Below are 16432 nucleotides of genomic sequence, written 5' to 3'. Positions count from 1 at the left end.
AACTTTGCTCTAGATTAGGACTTTCAGGTCTGCCTGGAAAAACCTTTAGACCAAGTTGATTCCAGGAATATTAAGTGCTTTTATTGTTGCCACAGTTATGTCATGACACTGAGCATTCTTTCTGAGATACTGGTGCAAAGATTCTTCATTATCCTCTTAGTTCCTTTTCCACACCCTAGAAATGACAAACTTAAGGATCAGGGAACATAAGGATTGATGACTTTAAAACAGGCAGGCACCATAGATGATGAGTGAAACAAGGAAGTTTATGTGAGTCTCTAATGATGTTTGAGGATTATACACCCTAAATATAAGGGAAAGGAATTTTTCATATGAATCAATTACTTTGAAGCACTGAGATAGAGAAGTTCTTGCAATAAAGACAGCAATAGGCATCTCATCCCCAGAACTTTTAACCTGGCAGTGTTCTACAAGGATACTTAACGACCATGATTTATCCTCCTTTTATATAATAAATCTGTTATTTATCCTACTGTGATCTTTATCACGGAAAGTGTCATACTTCGTGGTGTTGGTATTTTTACACTTTGAATACAAAATAGGTTTTTTTGGAAAAGGAAGTATTTTTCCTTGAAGAAAACTTAAGGATTTATTTAAACATTTAAAATGTTCACTTGGAAGACTAGGGTTGTTTGATGATTTTCCAGCTCTTTGTTAGGAGGATGATTGTTACTACCTCATTGCTGGTTGTTTAGTTTCTTTTTCCTCTTAGGCTTCACCCTATACACTATGTATAGGTCAGAGCCTTAGTGAGACACCTCAGCATTCAGATCCTTAGCTTCCCTCTGCATATCTAAAAGGACAAGGCTAGGATATACTTGTATTTAATAATTGTGGCAGGAATGCTTTTTAAACCATTAATCTACAGTTTCATAGCTTGGGGAATTCCTATGTCCCTACATAAAAAGGCAGTCTTCTTATTATCATTAGCATCAACATTATGTCTACCTCTATCACCAATAATATTATGTTTTTTCCATTACTTAGGGTAGCCTATAAAGTAAGTGTACTTATCACTTTTCAGAATCGGTTCCAAATAAAAGGGTCTTCTTTCTCCTCTTGAGATTTTTCTCCTTGTATATTCTTTTCTAGTCTGATTGACTTGAGAATTTAACCAATGATGCTTGATTTCTGCTAGAAGAGTTCTATATATTGGGCAGATATAAGAACAGTGCACGAACATCGACTTCTGTTGGTTGAAAATTTAGGATTCTGTGGTTCATCCTTGCAAAATGCATGGGAACAGGGGCCCAAACAGATAATGAAAGTTCCTCCAGTTGAGGCTTTTAGGAACTAGCTCTTGTACTCTGATTCTCTTGGCCAAGGCATCTGTGCCTCCTATGCCTACTTGCTATACACAGATATTATAATATTGACTCGTTGGTGTTCACTGCAGTGTATTATTCTGTAAAACAGACTTTTGAGTTTAAAAGATTGTTAGCTGTTCTGCTTGGGAATTCCATTTGCTGGTTGGCCAGAAGGATACCACCTTTGATGACAGGCATTTCAGAGGCAGCCTATGTTCCTCTAGCAGTTGACTGCAGTTGACTGTGACCTGGGTTGGTAGACTTACTGAGGACCTCTTTGCAAGATAGTTGCCAATACTTTTTGTACCATTTGGATATAACTATTCCTGTTTCTGTTCTTAATCAATTTTTTTCTGATTTCCATTAAAAAACCGAAAATCTATGCCCTTTTCCTTTTATATTCAAACATTATGGAAGTATATAAAATACAAAAGTCCCAGGAATCCTCATTAGGATTGCTGTGTTGTTCCCTTATAGTTTTTTTTGCCTAGTAACAGCAACATATTTTAGTATATGTATTAGTGTATACAGACCATTCTTCAATTTTTCTCCCACTTAAGATTTTATTTTAGAGGACTTTCCTTGTGAGTATATAGGAATAGTTTATTCTCTTTAATTGCTACATGGTGTTTCTTTGTATGGATATATTAATAATTTATTTAATTTGTTGCTGGGCATTTGGGTTGCTTCCCAGTTTTTCACTAATGCTGACAATGTTGCAAATGAACTTTCTTATATATATCTTTGTAACCTTATGTATTTCTGTAGGATAAAGTTTCTAGTAGAATTATTGAGTCAAGTGTGCCTGGGGCAGGTTTTTAGTCTTGAAATTTTTTAGTAATCCATTTAATATTATCATAGAAAACATTTTTCTGTTATTGTTCCTCTCATGTTTTCAGTCCATAGCGTCAAATTATATAATACTGTTGTGAGAGATGGAGGAAAACTTGAGAAGGCAATGTGGAGAATTGTATATAACACTAGGAGTTTTCATGGAGTAGCAAGATATTAAAGCCGTAGTTTGAAGAATGTAGATCTGGACTAATTATTTACAGGAATAGCCATCATAAAGGAGAAGAAAGAGGAACAACTCTCACCTTCCATATTGCCCAGTGCCCACGCAGCCTCTGATGCTCTGATTGTAAGAAATAGAAAAAAATCTCTTTTATTTTTTTCTGTTAGATTTTCTGTTCTCCCAAGTATATTTTACTGTCAGTCTCAGTTCTGAATTTTTTCCCCATGTTACAAATATCTATGACTAATTCTTAAGGGAGAGAAAAAGAGGTTCCAAGAGATCATGCTAAGGAGGTAGGACAAATCTGGAGCTGTGTATACTTGTTGGAGAAGACAGAAGTCCTGGTGAAGATACCTGTGGATACCTTCTTTAATCATCTGAGGCTTACCATCTCCTGGCATCTTTTCTCATCTGTAAAACATGATGGTAGATAATTGCTCAGGTCCCTTTCATGTCTTCCATTTTGCGTATGGATGGTGATCAAGGAAAAGCTATGAATGAGCACAGCTCTGTGTAAAGAGCACCCTGAGGAGCTAAAAGTGTACCTTCAGAAGCTAGAAGGAAAGGCCCAGTGTTTCTCTTGGGGAGGGGCAGCTTTTCCTCAGAAGATGTCTGGTTAAGCTGCCTGTTTGCCTTATCTCAGAACAGAAACACTGGTGATAGTCTGATAAGTATATTCTGCAGTGCAAACCTCCTGGTGAGTTGAGTTAAATGCCCTTTAATTTTCATGTCTCCAGAGTTCACCTCAGCAGGGAGATGCCATGGGAGAGCTGGATTAACTGCCTTTCATAGTATTCCCCACATTAGTGCTAGTTTGTGTTTGTCCATCTCTGTCTCTCTCAGATTATCTCCTGCTGCATACTACGCCCAGAGGATGATCCAGTATCTCTCACGGAGAGACAGTATTCGCCAGCGCTCCATGCGCTACCAACAGAACCGTCTCCGTTCTTCCACCTCCTCCTCTTCCTCAGACAACCAGGGTCCATCAGTAGAGGGAACCGACTTGGAATTTGAGGACTTTGAGTAAGTACATACTCAGCTTGCTTTCTTCCCTCTCCTCTCAAGCTTGGAGTGCTTCCAAGTTGGCCACTGTTGGAGCTACAATGGTGGATGTTCTTGCTCCCAACTCCTCAATTATTATTTATGAGTAGCAGGATGGGGTGAGGGACAGAGGGTTAAGATGCCCAGAGCACTCCCACCTCTGGCAGTTGCTTTGCTGATTCACTGGCGCGCGAGGACAGAGACCTCCCATTGGGCCCCAGGCCAGATTGCGAGAGGATGGTGGCTGTTGCTCCTCGGGCAACATTTTTATTTCCCTTTTGCATGTCCAGTGACCGTGGAAAGCTTCTCATGGACTGTCTTTACCACATCAGGGAGGCTGGAGGGTTGGTGTTTTTTCTCCTAAGCAGAGTAGCTGTGGAGATGTTGTCTTCGTTCTGAAATACTTGGATTTCCCTAAGAGGCGGATTTTCTATCTTAGTGCCCTGATCAGACTGACTCTTTAAGATCCTACTCCATTGCCTAAACTTTTTTGGTCTCCCTACTCTTACCCCCCATTCAGGAACCTTAAAAAGTTGTCTGTCAAATTAATGTGGTGGGTTGAGAAATGATTTCTTGCTTCTTTGGGCTTTTTTGAGTGGTCAGCGGGGAGAGCCATGGGAGGATGCGCTAAAGGAGCAGGGTCAGCCCCAGGCTCTAGAATTTAAGCTAGCCAATCTTTTTTTTTTTTTTTTTTGAGACGGAGTCTCGCTCTTTCGCTCAGGCTGGAGTGCAGTGGCGCTATCTCGGCTCACTGCAAGCTCCGCCTCCCGAGTTCACGCCATTCTCCTGCCTCAGCCTCCTGAGTAGCTGGGACTACAGGCGCCCGCCACCGCGCCTGGCTAATTTTTTGTATTTTTAGTAGAGATGGGGTTTCACCATGTTAGCCAGGGTGGTCTTGATCTCCTGACCTCGTGATCTGCCCGCCTTGGCCTCCCAAAGTGCTGGGATTACAGGCGTGACCCACCGTGCCAAGCCTTTTTTTTTTTTTTTTTTTTTGAGACGGAGTCTTGCTGTGTTGCCTAGGCTGCAGTGCAGTGGCACAATCTCGGCTCACTGCAAGCTCCGCCTCCCAGGTTCATGCCATTCTCTTGCCTCAGCCTCCGGAGTAGCTGGGACTACAGGCGCCTGCCACCACGCCCGGCTAATTTTTTTTTTTTTTTTTTGTATTTTTAGTAGAGATGGGGTTTCACTTTGTTAGCCAGGATGGTCTCCATCTCTTGACCTTGTGATCCGCCTGCCTTGGCCTCCCAAAGTGCTGGGATAATAGGTGTGAGCAACCACGCCCAGCCTAAGCTAGCCAATCTTATTGCTGGGTTTTGCATTCTCTCATCTGCTGCTTCTGACCTTTCTAGCCATTCATTGTGTTTCTTTCCATCCTGAAACTGAGCTTTTATGGCCTGTATCAAATTGAACATTTGGCTCATTTTGATTCCTTATATTTTGGTATTGTCAAACATAAAAGCAAGAGAGAGAGAAGGGCGGTTAAGCATTATTTCTTCCTCCTTCTTCACTGGCATTTGTGAAAGAGGACAGCCTGTCAGTCATTTCCTCCCCACCTTCCATCTTGACATAGCCGGGTCAGGTCTGGGGCCTTAAGAGTTCTCATCTCCCCCTCAGCTTTCTTCCTTAACTGAATGGCTAGTTCCTCACAAGTCATCTTGCAACAAAGCTTTTTAGTGTGTTTAAGAAATCTCTTTGCCAGAAAGGACTAGGAAAGTGAGAACAACCTTTGTACCAATTTGCCTTCCTGATGCTGTCATTAAACACACTACTAGCATTTGTGCTCTTAGAAGCAAAAGGAAAACTAAGTGGGAGGTTTATTTGTCTGAGAAAGATGTAAATGTGAAAGAAATGCAGGGATGGCCTGAAGTAGCAGTGGTGTGGCAAATGGAGCAGAGGTCATGGTTCTCTCTTGTCAACTGCAGGAGAAGAGCAGAGCTACCTTCTGACTGTCAGCTTGTTCCTTCTCCCTTCTGTCCACTCTAGGGTGAGGTGGATGCGTATATCAGCAGTGAAGGAAATGGAGTGTTTGTTCCCTTAGCCAGGCAGATACTTACAGTGAAATATGTTCTCCTGTAGATACGGTTTTTCCAGCACCAGGGTCTATTCAGGGAAGCAGTTGAAACATACATGCCAAGGCTGCTGGCACTTAGTGCTGCTGAAAAGCCTGGGTGACTTTCTCTCACTAATGCTGTGGAGCCCTGGGAGTCAGTGTTGTGGATTGCCTAGCCCTCTTTCCATGCACGCCTGGGAGACTGCGTTATCTTTTTGCAGTGGTGAAATGTGGGGCTCATGCCTTCAAGCTGTATCTTGCCTCGTGACTTGTCCTTCACAAGGGAGTTCTGGGTTAGTTTAAAATGTTCTGTTCTTGTCTTACCTTCCCTTTCTCCTGCTACCACCTCCTCTCTCTCTCCCCTTCCTTCCCCCTCGATTTTCCTGTGTCAGACTGCCTCCTCCTTATGCTCCCCCCAGCCCACCTGTGCGCTCTCCCCCACCCCCTCCCCTGGCTTTAGCATGACCTGAATTTACATTTCCTTCTTCACCTTTCATGCACTGACTTACTGTTTTTTCTCAGGGGGTCTTATATTGCTCCCTGGTTAGTAACAATGGACTGATTTCTCTCATACTCCTTGGAAAGTCCCTTCTGGGGTGTTTGCCTTTCTTTTTGGGCTGATGTAGACTAGAATCTTGTTTTTAATAGCAGCTGTGGATTAGTCACCTCAACATTAGTAGTCCAGGTCTTCTAGTAAAGGATGTTACTGGCTGGTTGAAACTGACTGTTTATTCTTTCTCTGTCTCCTTCCCTGCCCACCTCCCTCTACAGTAAACTGAATGCTGCTTGTGGTTGCTCCTGTCCTCTGAGTGTCCACGTGCTCTGTGAGGAGGGAGAATAACAAAGAAGGAATGTACCAGCACATTTTAATTTTTCTGCCCCAATCTTTTGCCTTAGCTTTGGTAACTAGAAGGAAAGTCAGAGGCATGTGCAGTCACGATTTATATTTTTTTCAGGTACAGAGAGACATGTAAGGTAGATATGGCGAGTAATCCTCCTAACAATTAGGTTACCATTAAGACAGTTGTTCCTTTGTTTGGTATCCTCACCTTCTCAGCACTTCATGCTCTTGCCTTTGCTACCTCACTTTGATGACCTCTCCCTCTGTTTGCTAAGTCATAGATCATTTTGCCATTTTTGGGCTTGTCACATCCAGTTGTATAGTGTTCTCAGAAAACCAAGGGAGCCATTACTCAGAGCCCATCTTTTGTGGTTCTCTTCCATTTGACCAAATCAGATATGTCTAAGGTTAGAGGACAGGAGCAAGCATATTTAGTGTCTGAGTTTTATTGTCCTGCTGATTTAAAAACCTTTGAAAATGATGTACCACCATTTTTGAGCCTTTCCAAGAGCTTGCTGTGGAGCAAGACCATTGAGATTTATCTCTTGGGAGGGTGGCTTTGGAGGTTGGTCAGCATCAGGTTAAATTTTCTGTTCTTTTGTGATCTAGATGAATGACCATCTTCCTGGGCAGGCTTCCTCTCCTGCCATTCATCTCTGTCTACAGCAAGGATTGAGACTGCAGGGTCCTTGTGTTTATCAAACTGCACAAACAGGACATCCAGAAACCTGCTGTCAGCAGGTCTCTCCTGAAGCTCTCAGCAGCTGCCTTTGCATAAAGATGTTCATAAGCAGGGTAAAGGTGTGGCTGCCCATGACATTGCTGTCTGTCTGCTTTCAAGCCCAGACCACCTACTAGAATGGAGATGGCAAATAAGCGTAAGGCAGACTTCCATTTTCATGTTTGCCATCCCTTTGGAAAGAGGGAGGGGGCTTTTATAAAGCCCAGGTTAAGTGCTATGGCCCGTAGTTGCTAAGGCCTACAAAAGAGGTGGTGTGTATGCTTTATGACAATTATTCCAGCTATGCTTGCCCCCTTACTCATTTTATCTGTTAATCTAAATGTAATTATAATTCCAGAATCCTCCCTAGCCCATATTCCTGCCCTTCCTGCCTCTTTTTATAGCTGCTTTGCTTTCTGAGGCAAAGGGATACTGTAGCAAAGGCTTTGCTAATGACAGTCAGACTAGAGAAGCTTCAGATTAGATCAGTCGCAAATATCTGCATCGTATATACTAGCCACTGGATAATTACATTCAGCTTCTTGAAAACTGTTGCTAGAGCCGGGTGTGGCAGCTCACACCTGTAATCTCAGCACTTTGGGAGGTTGAAGCAAGAGGATTGCTTGAGCCCAGGAGTTCGAGACCAGCCTGGGCAACATAGTGAGATCCCCATATGTATTAAACAAATAAAAGACTGTTGCTGGCACAGAAGTCTCTTATTCACAATTTTGACACACGGGCTGTACTTTGGATTTCTGCCTGGAAAAAACATCTCAATGAGAATTCTAGTCTTTTAGCCTTAAGATGAATTCTCTTTAGGTCTGTTAATTTATTTTCTTAACTATTCTAATTAATTTGCTTATATTTGGGTCCTCTTTTCCCAGAAGTCCACATTGTGACCAAATACAGGCACACTTTGTTTTATTGTGCTTGGCTTTTTTTGCGCTTTGCAGGTATTGTGTTTTTCACAAATTGAAGGTTTGTGGCAACCCGACATTGAGCAGTTGGCACCATTTTTCCAACAGCATGTGCTCATTTTGTGTCTGTCTGTCACACTGGTAATTCTTGCAGTATTTCAGATGTTTTCATTATTATTAGATCTGTTATGGTGACCTGTGATCAATTGTAATTGTTTTGGGGCACTGTGAACCACAATCATATAAGACAATAAGCTTAATTGTAAATGTTGTATATATTTTGACTGCTCCACTCACTGGCGATTCCCCCATCTCTCTTCCTCTTCTTGGGCCTTCCTATTCCCTGATACACAGCAATATTGAAATTAGGCCATTTAATATCCCTATAGTGACCTCTGTATGTTCAAGAAAAAGGAAGAGTTGCACATCTCTCACTTTATGTCAAAAGCTACAAATGATTAGTGAGCAAGACATGTTGAAACTTGAGATAGGCCAGAAGCTAGTCCTCTTCTGCTATAAACAGCCAAGTTGTGAACACAAAGCAAAAATTCATTTTTTTTTTTTTTTTTTTTTTTTTTTTGAGACAGAGTCTCGCTCTGTCACCCAGGCTGGAGTGCAGCGGCACAATCTCGGCTCACTGCATGCTCCGCCTCCCAGGTTCATGCCATTCTCCTGCCTCAGCCTCCTGAGTAGCTGAGACTACAGGTGCCTGCCACCACGCCCAGCTAATTTTTTTGTATTTTAGGTAGAGATGGGGTTTCACCGTGTTAGCCAGGATGGTCTTGAACTCCTGACCTCGTGATCTGCCCACTTCGGCCTCCCAAAGTGCTGGGATTACAGGCGTGAGCCACCACATCTGGCCCACAATTTAATATTCTTCATCTGCCCCTTTGATATAACTTAAAAAGCCTAGTTGAGTCATGGCAAAGAAGATATGTTAGAAACTAGAGAATACCATTCTTATCAGGTGATAGACCTGATGACTCATGTATTTCAAGTTCTCCTGACTAGAATTCTAGCCACCTGTCCTTGACAGTACTTGTTCCTGCTCTCTTCTGAGCCGGGAATTTCTAGGACTTCTGTAGGAATCAGTGACTACTCTCTAATAACAAATATATAACTTGTACCCAAGGAAGAGGGGGTAACTTTTGGCAAGTAAAATCGTCAGAGAGGGATAAGGTATTATCTACTTCATTTTGAAATAGAGTTCCCTTTGTCTTTTCCTTTGTCTTATGAGCCACAGACTCTAATATTAGGAGTGCAAGAGAAATGCTGAGGAAACACACTGTAAAGTTACTCTCTTTATAGGTTGGAACCTGCTTAAAGCAGTTAGGAATCAGCCAGCCATCTACATTTATTGAGTGGTGGTATTATACAAAATTAGTTCTTAATGTGGAACGAGACAAAAACTTCTCCACCTATAGTCCCAGCTACTCAAGAGGCTGAGGTAGGAGAATTGCTTGAACCTAGGAGGCGGAGATTGCAGTGAGCCGAGATTATGCCACTGCTCTCCAGCCTGTGCAGTTTTTTATTTTCATAAAAAATTAAAACAAAAAAAAAGAAAGAAAATGACCTGGAGAGAGACAAAAACCTCTCTTATTTTCCAGATAATTTTTGTAGTGGTCGAATGTCTTTACAAAATGGCTTAGAAAAGAGCTGTAAGTCTTAAAATAGGGTCTTTATTTAGGTATACTTAGGAGAAAGGCAAGTACAGTAATTCCTCTTTGGAAACTGTAACTTAAGCGAAACTACTATAATGAAACTAATTTTACCATAGACTAATTGATATGAACAAGAGTTAAGTTCCTGTGACATATTTCTGGCTACAAAAACGTCACCAAGCATCTAAAACACCCAAAACACTTCTTATATTAAACATTGAAATAAATGTGAGCTGTTTGTACATCTAAAAGATTAATAAAAATATAATTATTTGATTTTTGGTGAATCAGTGAGTGACAGTGGTCAATGTGGGGTGAGGTAAATCAAGGAATAGATGTTTGCAAAGTGAAAATTGTGAGGAACTACTATGTAGTTAAAACATAAACAGGAACAAATATGGTCAGTGCCCTGAGACTTAGTACTGCATCATTATTGTTGTGCATCTGTATGATTATTGTATGCTTTACATATTTTTACATTATTTTGTATTCATTTATTTTCCAACCTGCTTATTCCCATTCTGGCTCACAGGTGGCTGGAGCCTATCCTGGCAGCTCAGGGTGCACAGGGAGAACCTGCCCTGGACAGGATGCCATTCCGTCACAGGGTGCACTCATGCACACACCCACACTCACTCAGACTAAGGTAGTCTAGGCATGCCAGTTCATCCAATGTGCACATCTTTGGGATGTGAGAGGAAACTGGAATGCCCAGAGAAAACCCACACAGACATGGGGAAGTGTGCAAACTCAGACAGTGGCCATGGCCAGGAATTGATTTTTTTCCCTCATCAACATTATACAAAACAACATTGAATGAAACAACATTATTTGAGTACCAGCTGTAAATGCATGGTCATAGAAACATGAAACAGCATGGAATATTTGGGGAATTGCTTTGTTGATAGGTGTGGCTAGACTGTAAAGTTAAAGATGTGTGGCAGATGAGCCCCTAGAATGGAGCTAGATCTTTGTCTTGCGTGCCTTGCAAAGGAGATGAACTTTATCCCATAGGCAAGAGGGAATCATTGAAGCATTTTAAGTTATGGAATAGCATCAAGTTTTACATAAGTATCTAAAAAGATAGACTGTAATAAGTTACCACTAAAATACTAGGAGAGCATTGTATAAAGGGAGAGAGTATTTGGGGAGAGGTGAGAAAGCTTCATGGATTTGAGCTGGGTATTGAAGACTGCATAGAACTGTGAGAGAGGAATTGATATTGGTGATGGGTATAGCGAGGAGATTCTAGATAAAGGGAGTAGCTTAAGCAAAAGCGTAGAGACAGGAGATTTACAGGGCTTATTCAGGGACCCTGAATAGATCTGTGGCTAGAGCTATGGAGTGTTTGTGATATGAGAGAGATATCAGAAAGCCCCGAACTCTGGATGGCCTGGAATGCCTGGCTGAGAAGTTTGGACTTTGTCTCAGGCCAGCCATCATCCAATATATATTTTAGGCAGCTAACTCTGATAGCATTGGTTAAGGTGACCTAAAGTGACAAGTGTACTGATGCAGAAGTACCAGTTAGAAAGCAGTGGGCATAGTACAGGTGAGGATATCTGAGGGTTGCATTGTAAGTATTGATTGTCTGAGGGCTTGATGTTTTCTAAGTGTGGAGCCTGTTTGTGAATGTTTTAGGGGAACGAGCTTCCTGAAAGCACAGCCATCTTACTTTTCTTGTCTAAAAAAAAAATGCTAAGTCCTTTTTTACTCTTACTGGATCCAGTTTTGAACTAAATTTATAAATTAGCAATCACTGCTTCTTAGAACAGCAGTGACTGGCATTGAGATCACTTGTCAATGCCTGCTGGCCCCACAGCCTGACAGCTATTGTCTACGGAATAGTCCTGGGTTCTAGTCTTGGCTGAGGCTGTGATTTATTATCTGATCTTGAGCCGGCCCCTTTCCCATCCTAGGCCTCAGTGTCTGATGTGTAAAATGAGATTAGATAACCTCAGATTCTTGTAGCTTTAAGCTTCTTGGATCTTTGTTGGAGTTAACTATCTTAGAAAAATTTCCCCTGTCAGCCGGGGGCGGTGGCTCATGCCTGTAATCCCAGTACTTTGGAGGCCGAGGCAGATGGATCACAAGGTCAGGAGTTCAAGACTAGCCTGGCCAAGATGGTGAAACCCCATCTGTCTAAAAATATAAAAATTAGCTGGGCGTGGTGGCGGGCGCCTGTAAACCCAGCTACTCAGGAGGCTGAGGCAGAGAATTGCTTGAACACAGGAGGCGGAGGTTGCAGTGAACTGAGATTGCACCACTACACTCCAGCCTGGGTGACAAAGTGAGACTCCATCTCAAAAAAAAGAAAAAAAAGAAAAATTTCCCCTGTAGTAGGCAGAGGTACAATAATGAAAAGTCTCAGAAAAGTAAGGGGCCTTCCTGAGGATTAAGAATAGGCTATATGGTACCTGTCGAGCCTCAATGTATTTGTAAAATACATACTTTACCTGAATTCTAGCTCTTACTGAGGACTTTGATTTATTGCTTAAAAACGTGTAATATTGCTTAGCAACTTTAGAATTAATACTTTAGGATTCTAGAATTAGAATTACTGGGCAAGTAAAATACATATGAATATTTGTTAAGAGGAATGCAGAAGAAGAGAAAGAAAATGGAACACGTCTGGATTGTGCTTGGGCTTAGAATGGGAAAATACAGCAGGAAAGAATTACGCAGTGGGGGTTTGGGGGAGGAAGACATAACCCTTAGATTTATATGCTTATTTTTTAACATAAAATGCACAATAGGAATGTGGATTTGCATAATGTAGGCAGATGAAATTAAAAGGTAACATAAGGGAGGAGAGGAATTTGTAAATGGTAATTATCTCTTGTATTACCATTCCTTGGAGAAAAATGAAGGCTCTGTAGTTCCAGGAGACCTATGCTATTAGCTATTCCCTATGAATGATATCAGCTGGGGCTGTGCCTTCCTTCCAGAAATCAAAGCCCTTGCATATGTGCACAGTCATTGAAAGTAGAGACTGGGGCCTCAGTTTCTAACCAGCAGCACTCCAGTAAGGAAATGAGTTGACCAAGATCACTGTGCTCTCCAGGGACAGGAATACCAGCTAGGCCTTCTGTTGTCTGGAGATTGAGTAGAAACAGAGCAGCATAGGGAAACAAAAATTTTTTAATAGTCTAATTGTCAGCAAAGTCAACTGTATACTGTCAAGAGGACAGTGGCCTTTTGAGCTTTTTGCTGCAAGAGCTTCATTTATAAAGGCCCAAGTCAGAGCCATTTGTCACTGAGGAGCAATGACAACCTGACTGTCTGGTCAGGACTCAGACAGCAGTCTGTAGGTGCATTTTTCATTCCTTCAAATTACAGCCTCTCTCCGAGGCAATTAATCCTAGACATTTAGCAAAAGAGCTGCTGCTGTGTTTCTCCCTTGTTCTGGAAATACATCTTCTTGTATTCAGCACTTATTTTGGATACTTGATTGTTTGAAGGGTGTTTTTTTTCTGGTAAAATCTTTGATAAGAAAGTATTTTTCCCCCTACTCCTTCCCAAATACCCCTCTGAGAGTTAATCAGAGATGCACAGAGTTCAGCAACTGGGAAAGCCATTAATAACCCAGCCAGCTTCTATCCTGCTGGCTCAAAGTCAGCTTCAGGCTGTTGGAATTGATGAGGGTTTCTCTGGTGTTTCCCTGAAAAGTATTCCTCCTATGTTGGAGGAGCAATACCAACATATTTGTGTACTCTGTTCTTCACACTTTTAAGTCATTACCCTTGGAAAGGGTGTTGGCTATGTTGTTAGAGCCCGGTATTTAGCACCCTTCACTGTTCCTAAACTGTCTGGGTCTGCCTTTCTCTCACTTTTCATCTGGCAAATATCTTCCAATTCACTCATATTCAGCCTCTGCCTGCCTGACCAAATTTGTCTCCTTCTATCTCATAGAGCCTTGGCTTGATGTCGACCTTGTATCAGCACGGAAGTGAGTGGCAGATTTCTGTGTAGTTTTCTAAGTATATCATTATTTTAAGTACTTTTAATTCCTGTGCTCTTCTATTGGAACTTATCCCTCTCCCTTCAGTTCTTCCACTAAATATCCCATGCATTGAAATTTCTTTTCCCACCCCAACCCATTATCTCTGAATCTTCCCCTCTTTCTAAACTATAGAATCTAGAGAGTCATCAGTTACTGTTTCTGCCTTTAGTTATTTGGAACTGTGCCTTTGGTCCAGGATTTCTGTGTACCAGTACTAAAACTGATGGCCTTTTCCCCTCTTCCTGTCGAACTCGTCCTTTTGTAGTATATTTTGACCTTTGCCACCTTACCCATTCCGGTATTCAAGGTTTTACCTGCTCAGTAAATGTTTGAGCTGGTTTGGTTATAGGCTATTTTATCCTAGAGGTCTGTGGGTTCTTTTCTCCCATAGGCAGCATCTCATATTGTGTTTATTATGTTTCACATTTTCCTGGTCGTGCTGGGTCCTCTCCTGTCATTTCTCCTTCAGAGTTCTCAACACTTGGAATTTGAAATCTGCTCTGCCTTGTATTGAGATGACATTTAGCTCCTATTTCTCCATTCTTAGCCAAGATGTTAAATAAACTGAGGACCAGCATGAGCACCTCCCCTTACTTAACATGTTGCCTCTTTTATAGTGCCTCGTGTAACCTTCAGTCTGAGACTGCGTGTATTTGAGCCAGCTGATCTCATTCTTGTTTTCCTTTATATATCCCCCACTAATCTCTAAACACTATAAAGCCATTATCTCTGACCATATTTTGCACCCTCTCTTTTCCATCAGTTTTTAAAAATGTTGGTAAAATACACATAACATAAAATTTATCATCTTAACCCCTTCCCTTTATTTTTTTATTTTATTTTATTTTATTTATTTATTTATTTTTGAGACAGAGTCTTGCCCTGTCACCCAGGCTGGAATGCAGTGGTGCACTCTTGGCTCACTGCAACCTCCGCCTCCTGGTTCAAGCGATTCTTGTGTCTTAACCTCCCAAGTAGCTGAGATTACAGGCGCTCGCCATCACGTCTGGCTAATTTTTGTATTTTTAGTAGAGATGAGGTTTCACCATGTTGACCAGGCTGGTCTCGAACTTCTAACTTCAAGTGATCTGCCCGCCTCAGCCTCCCAAAGTGCCGGGATTACAGGCATGAGGCACCACACCCAGCCCCCTTCCCTTTTTTTTTTTTTTTTAAATGAAGGGATAAACTGAATCAGAAAGAAATTATATTTAGGTTTTAATAGCAACAAAAAGATGCTTGTGACCTACGTTGTACGGGCCCACATTTTCCCCAGCCCTGGGGTTTGCCCCTTTTTCTCTGTTGTCTTCTTGTGTTCTTTCACCAAGCTCTGTGTTACCTTTGGGCACTGGCAACTGCTCAGTACTGTCCAGTGCACTGGCTTCTCCTTCCCTGCTCTTCAGCCCTTCTAACGAGAGATAGATTCGTGTTTGTTGTCCAGAAGGAGGTGAATCTTTGGATCTTGCAGGAGCAAATTGTCAGCTCTGTAATGTGATTCTGGGAAGGCCAGCTCTCTCTCATGGGTGTGGAATAATTAGATTTGACCCATGATGCTTCTTTTCTAGCTTTATTTTCTATTTTTTATTTTATTTTATTTGAGACAGAGTTTTACTCTTGTCGCCCAGGCTGGAGTGCAAAGGCGCAATTTCAGCTCACTGCAACCTCCATCTCCTGGGTTCAAGGGATTCTCCTGCCTCAGCCTCTGAACAGCTGAGATTACAAGATGCAACACCATGCCTGGCTAATTTTTTGTATTTTTTTTTTTCTTAGTAGAGACAGGGTTTCACCACGTTGGCCAGGCTGGTCTCGAACTCCTGACCCTAGGTGATCCTCCTGCCTCAGCCTCCCAGAGTGTTGGGATTACAGGTGTGAGCCACTGTGCCCGGCCTGTTTTCTATCTTTCTTTAAAGAGATGAGAGTCTCTTGTTGCCCAGGCTGACCTTGAACTCCTGGACTCAAGCAGTCCTCCCAGGTAACTGAGACTACAGATGCACACCACTGTGCCCAGATAGTTTTTTATCTTTTTGAGGCTTAGAGGCCTCCACCCTTTCCCCCGCTTAGGATCCTTTTTAACTTCAAAATATTTTCTAACTCCTCTTATGATAATTAGTTGTACTTTGTTCAGTACTAATTGATAAGTGAAATATACGATAATGAAAAGCTATCATGAATTCAATTGTACTTTTAAATGAATTAGTAATTTATCACAACAGTAGTATATTTGAAAAATAATAGTATGCTTAATTTGGAAACTGTCTTATTTGTTTGATATTCAGCTACTCTGTGTACATGTATAATTTGTGGGCTCCCCAGTAACTGCAGTCTGCTGGTCAGGAACTCCTGATTCCATTGTTCTCTTTAACCCCCCTTTTACATTCCATATAGTCTTATCTCTTTCTCCTTGCCCCTCCTTTCATCTGCACAATTTCAGGTCAAAGGAATAAGATATGTTAAGGAACACAGTGTACGCTTTCTCTTTTGGGAAAATAAAAACCAAATACTTTCAATGGATCAGCTTCCAATATCCCTGGTATTGATTTGTCATTTAATGCTCGGCAGCCAATTCTACCAAGATATAAAAACCATCATAGACTTTTGTTTCTGGCTTGTGAAGTTCCCAGTGGTCCACTTAAAAGCCAAGTGTTGCCTTAACTTCGGTTTCAGGGCCAGTTTGAAGATTATCTCATTGATTTGAAGATAATCCAAAGGGAGAATTCAGAAAATATCCCAAATCAAGCTCTCAAAGGTTCATTTATTTTGTGGAGTTGGTTAAGCCGCTCATTAACTGCTCTGTCCAGCCAGTGCCCTTTGGCTTATTATTCTTTTGATGTACTGGAAACTAAAACATGTGAAGC

At 41.6% G+C, this 16432-nt stretch overlaps 1 protein-coding gene across 10 annotated transcripts in view; it reads left to right on the top strand.

Annotated features, from left to right (window-relative positions):
• Window positions 1-16432, top strand: part of AMBRA1 (autophagy and beclin 1 regulator 1) — a 197612-nt gene that overhangs the window by 82467 nt on the left and 98713 nt on the right. For 7 of the 10 annotated variants that reach the window (NM_017749.3, NM_001367470.1, NM_001267783.2 and 4 more), the window contains one exon: window positions 3187-3366. The exons of the other annotated variants lie outside the window; for them this stretch is intronic. In NM_017749.3, coding sequence (NP_060219.2) covers window positions 3187-3366 — 180 coding nt within the window. The remainder of the gene's footprint in view (window positions 1-3186; window positions 3367-16432) is intronic. 10 annotated transcript variants of the gene reach the window in all.

This window comes from Homo sapiens, chromosome 11 (genome assembly GCF_000001405.40).
Source record: "Homo sapiens chromosome 11, GRCh38.p14 Primary Assembly".
In the NCBI taxonomy this organism is placed as follows: domain Eukaryota; kingdom Metazoa; phylum Chordata; class Mammalia; order Primates; family Hominidae; genus Homo; species Homo sapiens.
This window is presented reverse-complemented; position numbering and strand designations above follow the sequence as displayed.